General features: G+C 40.0%; 1 long non-coding RNA gene across 4 annotated transcripts in view, besides 1 other annotated feature; it reads left to right on the top strand.

Moving 5' to 3' along the window:
* LOC105369844 (uncharacterized) overlaps window positions 1-16,895 on the top strand; it is a 310,508-nt gene that overhangs the window by 18,598 nt on the left and 275,015 nt on the right. The window lies entirely within an intron of this gene.
* Window positions 589-648: a silencer, noted in NCBI's record as "silent region_4663". NCBI's record gives its function as "represses an Ori minimal core promoter by ATAC-STARR-seq in GM12878 lymphoblastoid cells {active_cell/tissue: GM12878}" and the evidence as "EXISTENCE:reporter gene assay evidence [ECO:0000049][PMID:35858748]".

Below are 16,895 nucleotides of genomic sequence, written 5' to 3'. Positions count from 1 at the left end.
ATAGTGGTTGTTTGTGCCATCTGGACTTAGCCAATCATAAAACTCAGTTGATACTCCAAGCCTAAAATGGTCTTGGAGACCCTTTTTGGATTTTGGCTTAAGCCCCATTTTAAGGAATCCAACCCCTTCTTGTGAGATCAGATTTCCCTGCCTTGCACTGAACTTGTTTAGTCCTTGTCCATCCTAGAGCTTCACATGACTCAGTCTGCCAGTTAGGTTGGGAGATATAGCGGAGCTAGAAGGAGCCCTGGCCCTGGTACTTACTAAGCATACCCCTTTGATGACTTTAATTGACTCACTGTGTGGCTCTAAGTCCCTTCTCCTTTCTGGGCCTCAGTTTCCTTATTTGTAAAATCAGAAGGTGAGGCTAAATCTCAAAATGTCCATCTAGCTTCATGTTCTATGAAATCTTCTCTGCCTAAAATCTTTAAAGTGCTAATTAAACTGGCAGATCAAGATAAATGACCAGAGGAGCTGGACCCATTACAGAATTAAAGTCTTCAGAGCCCTAGCAAGCCTGCTTTTTGAAGCGTGCTTTCTTTTTACAGCTGTGAAGAGAGGAATCAGCACATGCGCTATAACTTCATATGACTAATGGTAACCATGGCGACCACTAAATATTCCTTCCAGACCTTGCATCTGCACAGCTCACTGAAGCAGAGGAAATAAACGTTGCTGCTTTGAAAAATGATAAAAATAATCTAAGCCAGCTAGAGGCTAGGAAGGAAAGGAGAGATCTTCCACCTGAAGGTCAAGCCATTTCATCTCATTATCTTTTCAGGGCCTTGTTTAACCTCAGGGGGCATTTGGTACCAACCGAATGAATAGGTCACAGACTGGAGGGATTTAGTATCAGGCTACTGAAACACTTGACTAGTTTTTAAAGAAGCTTCTGGGGTTCTGACAATGTTTGCTAGGCTGGTGTGATGACCCCTATGTTAAAATGCAGTAGGTCATCAAAAGCAGGTCCCCCAGCAGTTCTTGGTGTCAGGTCATATTATTGGTTTAAGAGAAGAGCAACTAGAAGACTGGCCAAGGTCAAACAGGGACCTGAGAAACCAGGCAGAGAGCAATAGTAAGGAGGTCTGCATGCACAGGAAGGTGGGGGATGGAAAGGCACAGTGAGGCAGGCTGGATATCAGCACTCATGCTCAGAGAGCAGAGCACAGGCAAGAGAACTGGGCCGCATGAAGCCTGCAAATTGGACAAAGAGAACAGACAACAGGTTAATTGCACTTTCTGTAAAACATGAGGCAACAGCCAGGAATACTGCAACCAATAGTATAGCCAAGGAGAGAGATGCAGGAAATGTAAAGGAGTGAACTGCTCATGAGTGGTTGGATTCTATCTAAAGAGGGCAGCCTATTGTTGCCACGGGGGATTGCATGTCCAGAGCTCTCATTTGTCAAGAGAAGCAAGAAATCTGGATTTTAAAAAATGTGAAATTCCTTAATTGTTTAACGATGACATGGTGTGGATTGCCATTTTGCATCCTCTAAAATTATAGTTACCTTCTGAGAATAAAAATAGGAAATGCCAGAGGAAGGAGATTCACAGTTAGCCAAGTCCACAGTGACACACACGGCTGATTGTGTCCAGCATCTGAGGCTGTGAGCACCTTGCCCAGTGGCTAGTCAGTCTTCGTAATGTCATCTCCCCTACCCCAGTATTTTCACCCTGAATTGCGGTAGATGCTAGCACCAAGAACCCAGCATTGAGCTGCTCCTATGCTTTAGTTGAGTCTGGGGTCTACAGATAAGTCATAAACATCTGACTACAGCAGGGAGTGAGGGGACAGACAGCAAGTGGACCATCTCTGACATTCTTACATAAGGTGAGAAGCCAACCTGTGCAAACTTGACCACCATCCTATTTGCTGTGTTGCTCCACAGGAAACTAGTCTGGATAAAACTTAGTTTCAACCCTTAGTGCCTGGGGTTCAATAAGACACAGTAGATCATGTTACCCTTTTGAAAAGCACACTTACTTTCTAGATTACAAAATTATTAAAGGGAAATCTGAAAATGCAAAAAAGAATAGTAGCATGTAATCATAAGGTAAAATACAGATGAAGCCAATAAAATGTCTTGTGGGAAATCACTCTGATGCAAGGATAGCCTACAAGTACCATACCAGGCAACTTATTACAGAGGTCACAGAACAGGAAGGCTCATAGCTGGAATGAATATGTTGGAATCTCATACTTCATTGAATCAATTCAAAACAGAGCAATAAACAAGGGGAAAGAAGAACATAACTCACTTAGGGCAGGGTGCATGTGGGCAGAAAGACCACACTCCCCAAATCCTGTGTTATCCAAACTTCATACATCCTGTCTGTCTTCTACACTAACCTTCCCTCTTAGTGATGTGGATATAAGGACCAGAGTAAAGGCAGAGCAAGAGGGTTCAGCAGATGAAAGATGCTTGGAGCGGATGCTTAGCTAATCTTTGGGAGGGATGCATGGACAGGCACACGTGGACACAGCTACCACTCAGATTAACCTGATGAGCACTTGTGTATTATTTGCACTTTCTGTATAGAGGATTTGTAGGGCCAAATGGCACCATAATGGGTACCACAAATGAGTGTTTGATTCAGGAATGACACAGTCTTCCATCTGGAAGTGACATGATTTGTGCTTTACTAATACTTAAGGTTTACTTGTGTAGCTTTTGAGCCATTGACATTGGTGGTTGGGGGTGGGGGATATGTTCTGCCCAGGTTTGGGGGTGTCCTAACTCTTTACTAGGAAAGACTTCAATTGGAAGGCAGGAAATGGCAGCCAGATATAGAGTCACTGCTGCTTTTGTGTGAAGAGAGTTTGGTGCTTCATCATGAAACTCTGAATGGGCCCATAGAAAAAAGCAGCCTGTGTCAGAAAGGGTCTAGAATGAGTCCCCCTCTTAAGAATGAAACCAGCACTATTTGCATGGTCCTTTAGGCCTCAGCTCATCTTACACCATATACTTACTCTCCTGTTTGCAGCCTCAAACCTGCAACAGGAGAGTAAATATATGATGTAAGATGAGCCGAGGACAGAAGTTGAGGAAACACCAACATTTAAAGGGCAGATGGAGAAAGGGGAATACATGAGGGGGAGGAGAAAAAGAACAGTCAGGGATTTTGAAGAACCAGGAGAAGATGCTATCACAGAAGCTCGAGTGCTCCATAAATTCCTGCTGAACTTGAAGTGGCTGCTCAAGTACTAAAGGTGAGAATATCTGAGAGAGTAGTACACCTGTCTACAAGGGAAAGCCAAATGAGGCCAAAGCTAGGGTAGCTCCTGCCATTTAGCAGGGAAGGTAAGGGAGAGAGAGACAGCCTGATTCCCAGTGCTTCTGATGCATACTGGAAAGGGTGGTAGTGGTGTCAGAAGCCAACGTACCCTTTTGGGTTCCCCTATTAGAGATCCCATTGCTTCAGAGTTGGCTTTATAGCATCCTGCTACCTGCTACTTTCTTTCATTCTGCACTTCTAAGAGGTTTGCCTATGTGCACGTTTGTTTTCAGATGTCTAATTCTGACTCAGAAAATTGCTGGTTTCAACTCTTTTGCCAGATGGCTGAGGAAAGAGCAATTGACTGTTAGCGCTAAATGCCTGTGTCAGAGCCCAAAGCAGCCGATTTCAATTAACATAAGAAGCAGAACAGATCTCCTATCGTGCAAATGTAAAACGATGAGAGAATGAAACCTCATCCTAGCTGAAAAAGGCAAAACACACTGCGTTTTATCTCCTCCCAGATGCTGGCCACGCTGTTGGGTTACTGGGGTCTACATACAAATGGGAGAGGAATATAAATCAGTTCCTATATGACTCTAATTCCCAGAACACCACCTGTGCCCTTGCTTTCTTTCTGCTTAGCTGGCAGGGAGTGGTCCTCAAAATCACATGGCAGAAATCTTTTGTTTATTTGTTTGGGTGCATGGAGGATACCATGGGGTTGTTTTCAACACAATTTCCTGTCTTCTCAAATGAGATGTGTTTTATAGAAGTTAAGTGCTCTCTTGTTATTTTTCCAGTTTCTTTCTTTTTTTAAATTTGTTTTGTTTTAGAGATGGGGCCTCATGATATTGCCTGGGCTGGAGTGAAGTGGCTATTCACAGGTGCCATCATAGCACACTATGCTAATTTTTAAGTGGATGATATAGAAAAGGAGATTTTAATTTTTTACTTTGGTTTTTAAAAATGTATATTTCTTTTCCTTTTTCTTTTCTTTTCTTTTCTTTTTTTTTTTTTTTTTTTGAGACAGGCTCTCATTCTGTCACCCAGGCGGGAGTGCAGTAGCATGATCTTGGTTCACTGCAACCTCTGCCTCTTTTTTTTTTTTTTTTTTTTTTTTTTGAGACAGGGTCTCATTCTGTCACCCAGGCTGGAGTGCAGTGGCATGATCTTGGTTCACTGCCACCTCTGCCTCTGGGTTCAAGTGATTCTCCTGCCTCAGCCTCCCCAGTAGCTGGGATTACAGGCATGTGCCACTACACCCGGCTAATTTTTTTTGTTTTTAGTAGAGCCGGGGTTTCACCATGCTGGCCAGGCTGGTCTCAAACTCCTGACCTCAAGTGATCCACCCGCCTTGGCCTCCCATAGTGCTGGGATTAGAGGCATGAGCCACCGCACCTGGCCTACAAATATATTTTTTGTTATGTACTACACTTTACAAGGTGAAAATAAAAACAAAATTTAAAAATCTAGATTGAGATATGTTGCTCCCACCTTGCTCTTCATCTACCCAGTTTCTTTCTGCCCTTAATAAGTAATTTCAATTAGTCTCTTGCTATTTTTCCAGTGTTTTTTATTTTATTTTCGAGACAGGGTCTCATGACGTTGCCTGGGCTGGAGCGAAGTGGCTATTCACAGGTGCCTCCATAGTGCACTACAGCCTTGAGCTGCTGGACTCAGTGATCCTCTGGCCTCAGCCTCCTGAGTAGCTGAGGACTACAGGTGCACACCATTGTGTCCAGCTGCAGTGTTTCTTATTGCATGTACAAGCATACATATACATTCTTATTTCCTCCTCTCTTTTTTCAGAAAAGATAGCATATTACACTATTTTGCACCAAGCTTTTTCATTATTGAACAATATATTTTGGAGATCTTGCCATATTGATACATAGAGAGCTTCTTCATTCTTTTTTTATTTGTGTACCATATTCAGTTATACAGATACACCATAGTTCTTTTGACCAGTCCCCTATTTTTGGAGGTCATTTCCAGTTTTTGCTATAAGAAACAGTTCTCTAGTTGATATCTTTAACCATCTATGCTGTGATACATAGGTAACAGTAACTGTGGGATAGATTCCCAGGAGTAGCATTGTGGTTCAAATGCATCTGTAATTTTGGTAGATATTGCCAGATACCCTTCCATGGGGGCTGGCCATTTTGCCTGCCTTCTAGTGCAGTGTGAGAGTGTCTATTTCTTTGCAGCTTTAGTAACTGAGCATTTTCAAACTTCTGTTTGGGGCTTTTTTGTTTGTTTGCTTTGTTTTGTTTTGATTAGTCAAATAAATTAGCTCAAGGTAGTGCAATTTGTATTTCTCTTATTATACTTTCTTGAGGTCATAGTATATTATTATTTTTGTTTGGTTTCATGATCTCCCAGAGAAGGATCATGACCCGATGATGGCAGGGTGGGGGATTGTTGGGGTGGATAATCCTTCCTAGATGCTTCACTCTTGGGCTCTAAGGACTTTATAAGATTCTAGATCCTCCATCATGTCCTTGTGTGTTAGTTTTATTACTCCATGTTTTCCTGTAGTGATTAGTAATTGTAATACTAACCAACATGTATTGAGTGCTTGTTACATTCTAGGTACTATTCTGAGCACTCTCTATATAATTCATTTACTCTTAAAAAAAAAACTTTATAAGGAAAGATGTTATAATCTATATTCAGATGAGGAAATGGAGGTACAGCAAGGTCGGTAACTTGCCTAAGGTCCCAAAGATAGAACCTAGGCAGTCTGATAGAGGGTGAACAACATCTTGGATTTTTGTTTGTTTTTTTTTTGTTTTGTTTTGTTTTCCTGGGACAATCCTGGTTTTTGCCTTTAAAGTTCCATGTCCCTGAAAACTCCTTAGCCTGGGCAAACTGGAGCAGTTGGTCACCCTAGTTTGACCCTAGAGCCCTTGCAAATCACTATTACATTTGTCTTAAGCCTACAAGAGGATGGATGCATGTAATCAGAGGAATGGGAGAGAGAGCGTTGCTATAGCAGCATGTGTGAGACTTTTAATTTGTAGATTCCTATTTTTATTCAATTAGCCTGACACCAAGGGAGCAGGAAAAAAGAGTGGGGCCATTCCCTCAGTCAAGTAGCTGCAGAAATGAGAAATAGCCAGAGAGAGAGAATAGCTAATCCAGCTGCTATCATCAGAAATCCGTGTGGAGGTCTAGTAAAACAAAAAACAAAAAACAGAAAACATATATAGTCTTGTCACTACGGTAAGTGAACAATTTGCATGCACTATTTCAATTACTCCTCAGAGTAGCTCTGTGAGATTGGTACTAGTATTGCATCCATTTTCCAGATGAAGAGAGGTGAAGAAACTTGCCCAAAGTAAGGTAGATCGAAACTCAAGCTCTCTGCCTGCAAAATCCATGCATGTTTTACCTAAATTTAAGTGCATATTTGATTCCTAACTGGGCTCTTAATGACTAACAGTAGGAAAGACTCTTGAAATCCTGAATCTTTGGCCTTGCTGCAAGAGATGCTGATTTATTCTTGAATGGAGAAACCTAGCAGCTAAACAATTAGAGATGCTTTTAAAGATTTCTAACAGCTTCGGGAACAAGCACTTGTTTAAACATGTTGAGGCTGTGAAGAGCAACAGATAAGATTCTGCTCTATTTTTGCCACCAGGAGCCATGTGGTCTTGAGCAAGACTCATTTAAACTCTCTTGGTTTGGGTACTTAAGTATAAAATGAGGATAATTGTTTCTTACTTACTTCAAAGATTATCTTCTGAAGACCTTTCTTTTTCTAAGATTCATCAGCACAATCCATACGTCTCTGATTTCTCAAGCTACATTATATTTGTATTAGTCTGTTCTCATGTTGCTAATAAAAACATACAAGACATACCCAAGACTGGGTAATTTATAAAGGAAAGAGGTTTAGTTGATTCACAGTTCAGCATGGCTGGGGGGTGCCTCAGGAAACTTACAGTAATGGCTGAAGGGGAAGCAAACACATCCTTCTTCACATGGCAGCAGGAGAGAGAATGAGTGCCCATTAAAGGAGGAAATCCCTTAAAAAACCATCAGATCCCGTGAGAACCATCTCACTATCATGAGAACAAGATGTGGGAAACAGCCTCCATGATTCAATTTTCTCCGCCTAGTCCCTCCCATGACATGTGGGGATTATGGGAACTACAATTCAAGATGAAGATGAGATTTGGGTGGGGACACAGCCAAATCATATCAATACCTGAGAAAAAGCAAGGACCCAGTATAGAAAACATTATACTAAGTACACAGTATATATAAATTTATATAATTCAAGAATGAATTTGGCTAGAGTCCTATAATAGGATTTCTAAAGTTAGAATTTCTAAATTGGCCCCCCAAAGATGCTCTGCCTAATCCCCAGAACCTGTGAATGTGATGAAATGTCTTTGATTATGTTATATGACACAGTTGACCTTGAAATAAGGGGGATTATTCTGGGCTATGCAGTGGGCCCATTACAATCACATGATCCCTTAAAAGCAGAGAGCTTTCTTTGGCTGGTGGCAAGTGGGGCTGAAGTAGGAATAATGGTAGTTGAAGAGATTTGAAGCAACAGGGCCATTTGACACACCACTGTTGGCTTCGAAGATGGAAGGAATATGGGTGGCCTTTATAATCTGAGAGCAGATACCAGCTAACAGCGAGCAAGAGACCAGCAACCTCAGTCCTGCAAGTACAAGGAATGAATTCAGCCAATAGCCAGAATGAGTTTGAAAGTGGATTCTTCTCTAGAACCTCTAGATAATATCCCAGCCTAACCAACACTGATTTCAGTCTTGCGAGGTCCTAATCACAGAACTCAGTGAAGCCCACTTGGATTTCTGACATGCAGAGCTGTGAGATGATAACTGTACAGTGATAACTGTGAGATGTAACTGAGAGATGATAAGTAACTTGAGGGTTTTTTTTTAGATATCAATAGATAATTAACATGTCTCCATCTAGGTTTCTTAGAATCCTGATTTTTTATCTCCTACTCTTGTGGTCTTTTGAGTTGCATTCTAGACTGAGGATATGGTCTCAGTATTTCCATATTCCCTCTTGATTTCAAGCAGTTCCACAAAACTAGGAGTCTCCAATCACATCCTCTCTAATCAAATTCCTGGCAGGATGCTGCTGCTTGACTTTGGTTGTCACCGTCTCTGTCCCTTACCTTACCATTGGTACAGGCCACTGTTTCAATTATTGATCAAGGCCTTACTATCTCACCTTTCCTACTTTCTATTAGAGCTATTAGAACTAATAAATAAATTCATTAGAACTGATTAATGAATTCAGTAAAGTTGCAGGGTACAAAATAAACATACAAAAATCAGTTGCATGTCTTTACACAAATAATGGTCTCTCTGAAAAAGGAATCAAGAACATAATCCCATTTACAATAGCATCCAAAAGAATAAAATAGTAATAAATGTAACCAAGGATGTGAAAGATCTTCACACTGAAAACTATAAAACATTGATGAAATAAATTAAAGAACACACAGTTAACTGGAAAGATATCCCATGTTTATGAATTGGAAGACAATATGGTTAAAATGTCTATACAATTTGAAGCAATATATGCATTCAATGTAATTCCCATCAAAATTCCAATGCATTTTTCACAGAAATATAAAACATTCTAAAATTTGTATGGAACCACAAAGATGTCAAGTAGCCAAAATAATTTTGAGAAAGAAAAACAAAGTTGGAGGCATCATACTTTCTGATTCCAAATTATAATACAAAGAAATAGTAATCAAAACAGTATGGTACTGACATAAAAACAGACTCCTACATCAATGAAACAGAATAGCGAGCCCAGAAATAAACCTATACATAGATGGTCAACTAATTTTTGACAAGGCCACCAGGAAGATACCATGGGGGAAAGGCTAGTCCCTTCAGTAAATTATGTTGGGAAAACTTGGTATCCACAGGCAAAAGAATGAAACTTGACTAATGCCATACACAAAAATAAACTCAAAGTAGATTAAAGAATGAAACATAAGACCTAAAACTGTAAAGCTCCCAGAAGAAAATATAGGGGAAAAGTTTATTGATTTGGCCTTGGCAAGGATTTTTTTGATATCTCACCAAAAGCACAGAGAACAAAAGCAAAAATAAACAAGTGAAATGACAGAAAACTAAAAAGCTTCTGCACAGCAAAGGAGCTAATCAACAAAATGAAACAGCCAACAGACTGGGAGAAAATATTAGGGAATTATGTGTTAGATAAGGGGTTAACATCAAAAAACAAGGAATTTGCACAGTGCAATAGTAAAAAAAATCAAATAATTCAATTAAAATTTGGGCAAAATACATGAATAGACATTTGTCCAAAGAAGAAATAAAATGGCCAACAATTATATGAAAATGTACTCAACATCATTGGTTATCAGGGAAATGCAAATCAAAACCACATTGAAATATCATCTCACTCCTGTTAGAATAGCCATTATCAAAAAGACAAGAGAAATAAAGTGTTGGTAAAGTTGTGAAGAAAAGAGAACCCTAATACAATGCTGGTAGGAACGTAGATTGGTGCAGCCATTGTGGAAAACATTATGGAGGTTTCTAAAGAAATGAAAAATAGATTTATCATAAGACCCAGCAATTCCTCCAATTTTTTTTTTACTCTATTTTAAGTTTAAAAAATGTTTTTAAAAGTGTCTATTAGATGAAAGGAGAATATAGGACTTATGAGAAATTGAGATGCTTTTTTGTTGGTCAAGTGTTACTATGGAGATGTTGTGGCAACAGAGTTGAAGCAATAGAGGTGAAATCCAAAGTGACATGAGACTAAGATTAGAACCAGAATAATTATGAGGAAACAAATTTACACCAGATGATAGAGTTCAAGAATAAAACGGAAATGGAAAAGGAAAAGCAATGTCAATAGCTAAGAATAGAGCAGGACTAAGGCTGTGAATGGCAAACTGGCGCTTGGTGTGTATTACAAGGGGTGTGTTCTCTATGTTCCAATATACATAGAGTATATTAGCCCTGTCCTTAAGTTCAAGTCCTAAATATGTACTAGCTGTTACTAAAGTACTGTGGGTATATGTGTGCAGGAAGAGGCAAGGACAAGCAATTGATGGAAAGATGTTCACACAAGATGGAGCAGAGTGGGAAGCTGTTTTTAAAAAGAATACAAATTATATGTGGTTACAGATTGATCCCCTCTTTTAATAGTGAATTTTACTGATTTTATCTAAACAATTTACACTTTAAGGACTCTGAAGCTAGGAAAATAAACCTGTTTTATATTAAACGCTATTTTAGCTACAAAAAAAGACAAAAGGTCTTTGGTGAAACTAGCAATGTAACCCTTGGGCCCAAGTCATGAAAATGTGTATATTCACAGCATAACTCTCTCTAGCTGTTAAGCTGTCCCAGTGCCTGCTCAGTCAATGTTTTAGAGTATTCTGTCACCCCAGTGGCATTCTACAAAGTTTTTGGAGCTGATGCTGGAATTTTCTGAGGCTAACTCTATAAATAATTGAGTTTCCATCCCATAGATTTTACTTCCGTTTTTGTTATGTCTAGCTGGAAAATTTACTGACACCATTCAACTTTCTTCTCTCCCTCTAGGTTTCTTCCAACACTAACTCTGGCCCATTTCTCCCTTAAAAAATAAATGTGAAAAGAGCTGAGATTAGTTTCCCCTGCTAAAAATGGTGCCTTCGTGGGTAAGCTTCACCAGTACTATTGATAAGATTAAATTGTTCTGTAGACCTCAAAAGAATTTTAGTTCTGTTAGGAGCCTCTAGATTGAGAGTGTTAGCTGGACGTTTGAAATTTTGTAGGCCTTAGGAATAGGCCTAGACAGGAAGATATTGGGTTTTGCTCTCTCGATGCAGGATTCATTTTTTAAAGATTGGGCAGAAAGCTGTTTTTTGGTCTTATTAATTCTTGCTATTGTGCTTTGATTGTGTGACAGCTTCATTGCTTTTAATTATTGATGGAGGTGATGATGGTGATATACTTTCTTGAGACCAGGTGGCGTTAACAGGTTTTAACATTGGTTCCTCATTCCTACTGAACCAGCATGACTTTCTCTTGATGTTTTTCATGTTGTCAAGATCTTAGATTATTGGAAATGAAAGACAAATAAGAAAGAAAATCTCACCCACAATTTTAAGATATCTTAATTCATAAAGTAACTGTTTTTGTGATCCTGGGGCACCATACTTCATCTGATCAAACAGTTTCACTGGAAGCTAATCTGTTGGATATAGTTAGTATTTATATGGTAGATGACCAAAAGAATTGGTAGGCAATCCTACTTTTGGGTTATTATCTACTGCAACCTTGTTGGTTGTTATCTATTGAGTATTATCTATTGAGTTTAATAGAAGTCAACTACTTCCATGTCAGATCTTCTAAAAGAGTGAAGATACAGAGAATATCATTTATTTACTCAAAAATATTTATTGCATATCCACCATGTGCCAGATACTGTGTTAGGTGCTGGGAATACATCAGTAAAGAAAATGGACAGGCTCTCAGGGCACTTACATTTTCATTGGGAACACAGAAGACAGTAATGAAATAAAGTAAGAGATAAGTACTAATAAGATAAAGAAGACAATACTGTGGGTAAGAGTGATTAGTCACTAAAAAAAATAAGAATTTCTAAAAAGGTAGATAGATAATATATCTTATAATAACCATAATATCATAAGGAGCAGCAGTATATTATATAGCTATTGACCATCAGGATACATGATATTTGCTACAATGACTTTCTTTTTCTTTTAACTTTGCATTTCCTTTTATATTTCTTCAGGCTTCCTATTATATAGGACATCGGGGGTGGGGGTAGACAGGATTGCAAAACTTTTGATCTAATAGATATTTTAGAATGATCTAATTTCCTTCACTTTGTAGATGATGAAAATGAGGCTCAGAGAAGTTATCAGACTTGTTCAGGGTTTACAGCTAGGTACAGCTAATTACAAGTACCCAGCGCTCATCCCTGTACATTTCCAGTGAGTGGTGCTTGTCTAGGTTTTTAATTTATAAAGCCCGAAATCTAAGCTTTCATGGTCTCATATGTGATCAACACTGAGATGACTCAAGTTCTCCAGGGGTTACTTTTTATTTAATACCTATTAATAGCACACAAGCTCTCTTCTTACCCCCAAATCAGGAAGAAGCCTAGCCTTTAATGAGCTCTTACTTGCCTTCTCCCTGTCTGGCTTAATGCTCTCTAGGCTTCAATATGGGTGGATTCCAGCAATTTCAAACTGTTTCCCCAGGCTGCTACGGATATGCTTACATTGCTTAAGTCTCAATGTGGACACAGTTAATTTTGTAAGCACTTCTAAGACTAGACTATGTAGTTAGCAAAACATTACCAAAGGTTTGGGGATAACAGAAGAGAATTATTTTGCAGAACAGAAAAAGGAACCTGGATATTAGCTGTCACTAGAGTTCATTGGCAAAGCCCTCAAGAAGAGTTCCCTCATAGTCATCTCTTTCAACCTTCCTCTAAACCTAGTCCTACACCATAGTGCAGGAATCAGCTTAACATACCATGGCCTCTGACCATGTCCCTATTACCTGTAGCCCTAGCTGTTGGGTCATCACTGGCCCTAGAGAGTTGAGAAAATCCTTTCTTCCTCAAGACAGACACTTCAGTCCACAATGATGATAACCTTGTATTAAATCATACAGAGCAGTTTATTCTTCATAGTCTCACATTTTCTATCCCAGATTTGAATTTGGACTTTCTTTTTACCCAATCAAGAAGCTGCTCCCCCTGCTACCATTTATGATGCCTTCACTTCCAGCTATATTAAAAACAAATAAACAGAAAACTGTTGGCAGCTTTGAAATAATAATTTCCCTTGCCTAATAGCCAGCTGTCAAAATTTTAGTTCTGATTGTGTCAAATTTCTGAACATCTCCTTACATGATAATCTAAAGAATTTCCACCACTACTCCCACTACTTCGTTGGTAGTTAGCTTTCCTTACCAACTTCACAGTGTGTTTCAAAACCCAGCCTTCTCTGGGAGGCTGCTTATCCTCATGTCCTTCTTTTTTTTTTCTTCCTTTATTTTATTTTATTTTATTTTTTGAGACAGTCTTGCTCTGTCGCCCAGGCTGTAATGCAGTGGCACAATCTCAGCTCACTGCAGCCTCCACCCCCTAGGTTCAAGTGATTCTCCTGTCTCAGCCTCCTGAGTAGCTGCTATTACAGGTGCCTGCCACCATACCCAGTGAATTTTTTGTGTGTTTTTAGTAGAGACAGGGTTTCACCATGTTAGCCAGGCTGGTCTCGAAACCCTGACCTCAACTGATCTGCCTGCCTTGGCCTCCCAAAGTGCTGGGATTACAGGCTTGAGCCACCACCCCCAGCTGTTATCCTCATGTCCTTCTTTTTTTTTTTTTTTTGAAACGGGGTCTCACTCTGTGGCCCAGGCTGGAGTGGAGTGGCACAATCTCGGCTCAGTGCCAGCTCCGCCTCCCGGGTTCATGCCATTCTCCTGCCTCAGCCTCCCAAGTAGCTGGGACTACAGGCGCCCACCACCACGCCCGGCTAATTTTTTGTATTTTTAGTAGAGACAGGGTTTCACCATTTTAGCCAGGATGATCTCGATCTCCTGACCTCGTGATCCACCTGCCTCGGCCTCCCAAAGTGCTGGGATTACAGGTGTGAGCCACCACGCCCGGCCCTCATGTCCTTCTAATCAGCACGTTATTCTTAGCACTTAGGTGTTTAGTTTGGATGTCATTTTCACCTGTCATTTATACATATGCGTTCTCCTCACAATTAGAGCACAAACACTTTAGAGACAGTTATTTTGTGTCATGATTCCCTCACCTCCTGTTCTCCACATCTCACAACAATGCCTATTTAGTACCCAACAAATATAACCTATTTCTTGGCGACTAAAATCTATTATTTATCCCCCAAACATTGCCAAAGGCCTTACACTTACTGCATTGTCATTTCTACTTTGATATTGTCCTTCATTTCACCTTCCTATTGAATTTTTCCCAAGGTCCGTGCTCATTGCTTGTCATATGGATTTGGCATGAAATTCAGATGAAATTCCCATTAAAAGGCATAATTTAGATCTCATTTGACATGAGAAAGCTTAATCTTTACAGTTTATGCTGTAATTTTCTATTGTATAACCCAATAGGAAATAGTATGTTGAGAGGCTGGAGATTGAACTGAAGACGGAGTGTCACATTGTTGCTGCCTCAGCCAAGAAAACTACATGGCCTTGTGTGTAATGGTGGGGATGCTGGTGATCTTAGGAGGCTAGTCAGAGCTGTAATCAGGGCCTGAAAGCCAGTGCAGGGGAGTGTACAGGCAAAGGGGTCACACCTAATGAATGGGTCTTATTGAGAACAGGGAGATGGGCTAAGAAAGAGACATGGGCCGGGTGCGGTGGCTCACACCTGTAATCCCAGCACTTTGGAAGTCCGAGGGCGATGGATCATTTGAGGTCAGGAGTTTGAGACCAGCCTGACCAACGTGGTGAAACCCCGTCTCTACTAAAAAAAACAAAAAACTTAGCCAAGCATGGTGGTGCATGCCTCTGGTCCCAGCTACTTGGGAAGCTGAGGCAGGAGAATCTCTTGAACTCAGGGGGTGGAGGTTGCAGTGAGCCGAGATTGCGCCATTGCACTCCAGCCTGGGTGACTGAGCAAGACTCCATCTCAAAAAAAATAAAAGAAAGAGACATGGAAAAGGTGTGGGTCACTACACTCTCAGGCCCAACTGTGGCCTGAAAACACACAACATAGGAGGAGAAGTAGAGGGATGGATCAAGGAGTGAGGAGTACACTTTGCAGGTGTTAGCAGAACTTGGTGTGTTGTTTAAAACTTTTTAGGTCAGTAAAATTAAATGGTAATTCACCCAATATATCTTCATTACTCATCCTTGTGCCCAGTCTTACCCCATCCTCCTTTTACTATATGTATAATAAATATATAATAAATTTATTTATTTATTTATATTTGAAATGGAGTCTTGCTCTGTTGCCCAGAATGGAGTGCAGTGGCCCTATCTTGGCTCACTGCAACCTCCGCCTCATGGGTTCAAGTGATTCTCCCCGCTCAGCCTCCCAAGTAGCTAGGATTACAAGCGTGCGCCACTAAGCCTGGCTAAAATTTTTGTATTTTTAGTAGAGATGGGGTTTCACCACGTTGGCCAGTCTCGTCTCAAACTCCTGACCTCAAGTGATCCACCTGCCTTGGCCTCCCAATGTGCTGGGATTACAGGTGTGAGCCACTGTGCCTGGCCTCTTGTAAATATTTAATACCGTGTGAAAATCCAAGAAGCTTTGCCTTTCCAGAGTTTGAATTCATCAATATGCTCAAAATAACAACTTGATATCTTTGAAGGTTTTGGTTGTTTACCTAATCTAGTTGTACTTTTCTTAAACAGAGGAAAGTTATCTTTGATTAGAAATAAGCAAAACTAATCTATGGTGGAAATTTAGAATGCACACACCTATAATAATTTCAATATTAAGTAAAACTACTTCTCTGGGTGTCAAAACATACACATATCTATACATAATGGATGAAACTGACATCAGCCAACAGAGTGCAGAATGGATGCATTTGGGGCCAAACAGCTTGAGTTTCAACCCCATCTCTACTCATTTAACTGTGTGATCTGGGCAAGTTATTTTGCTTATTTGAGCCTCAGTTTCTCCATCTGTTAAATGAAGGTAGTTCAGTTGACCCTTGAACAACATGGGTTTGAACTGCATGGGTCCACTTAAACATGGATTTTTTTCAATAAATATATTGGCAAATTTTTTGGAGATTTGAGACAATTTGAAAAAACTTGCAGACGAACTACATACCCTAGAAATATCCCCCAAATTAAGAAAAGTTAAGTATGTCATGAATGCATAAAATATATGTAGATATTAGTCTATCTTATCATTTAAATGTAAATGATACATGTGTAAAATATACACAAAGCTATTATAAAAAGTGAAAATTTATTAAAACTTATGCACACAAACACTTACAGACCATTCATGGCACCATTCACAATCAAGAGAAATGTAAACAAATATAAAGATGCCATATTAAATTATAACTGCATACATTCAACTGTGGTACATACTGTAATAATTTCATAGCCACCTCCTATTGCTACTACACTGAGCTCAAGTATTGCAAATATCTGCTTAAAATGCTGTTGGATGCTAATCATCTCCACGTGAGCAGTTTGTCTCTCCAGTAAATTGGATATTGCAATAAAAAGTGATCGCCCACAGTTTTCACGTATTTTCCATCATATTTAGTGCAATATTGTAAACCTTGAATAATACCATGGGTTCCATATGAAGTGCTACTGGTGATGCTGCTGGAAGTGCTCCCAAGAAGCAGAGAAAGGTCATGACATTACAGTAAAAAGTTGAATTGCTTGATGTGTACCATAGAGTGAAGTTTGCAGCGGTGGTTACTGCCATTTCAGACGGATAATTCATCTTATAACAGATGGCATAGGTTGGGCGCGATGGCTCACGCCTGTAATCCCAGCACTTTGGGAGGCCGAGGTGGGCGGATCACGAGGTCAGCAGATCGAGTTCATCCTGGCTAACACGGTGAAACCCCGTCTCTACTAAAAATACAAAAAATTAGCCGAGTGTGGCGGCGTGCGCCGGTAGCCCCAGCTACTCGGGAGGCTGAG

The sequence above is a fragment of the Homo sapiens genome, chromosome 12 (assembly GCF_000001405.40).
Source record: "Homo sapiens chromosome 12, GRCh38.p14 Primary Assembly".
NCBI classification, from domain to species: domain Eukaryota; kingdom Metazoa; phylum Chordata; class Mammalia; order Primates; family Hominidae; genus Homo; species Homo sapiens.
Note: the sequence above shows the minus strand (reverse complement) of the source record. Positions and strands in the feature narration are given on the sequence as shown.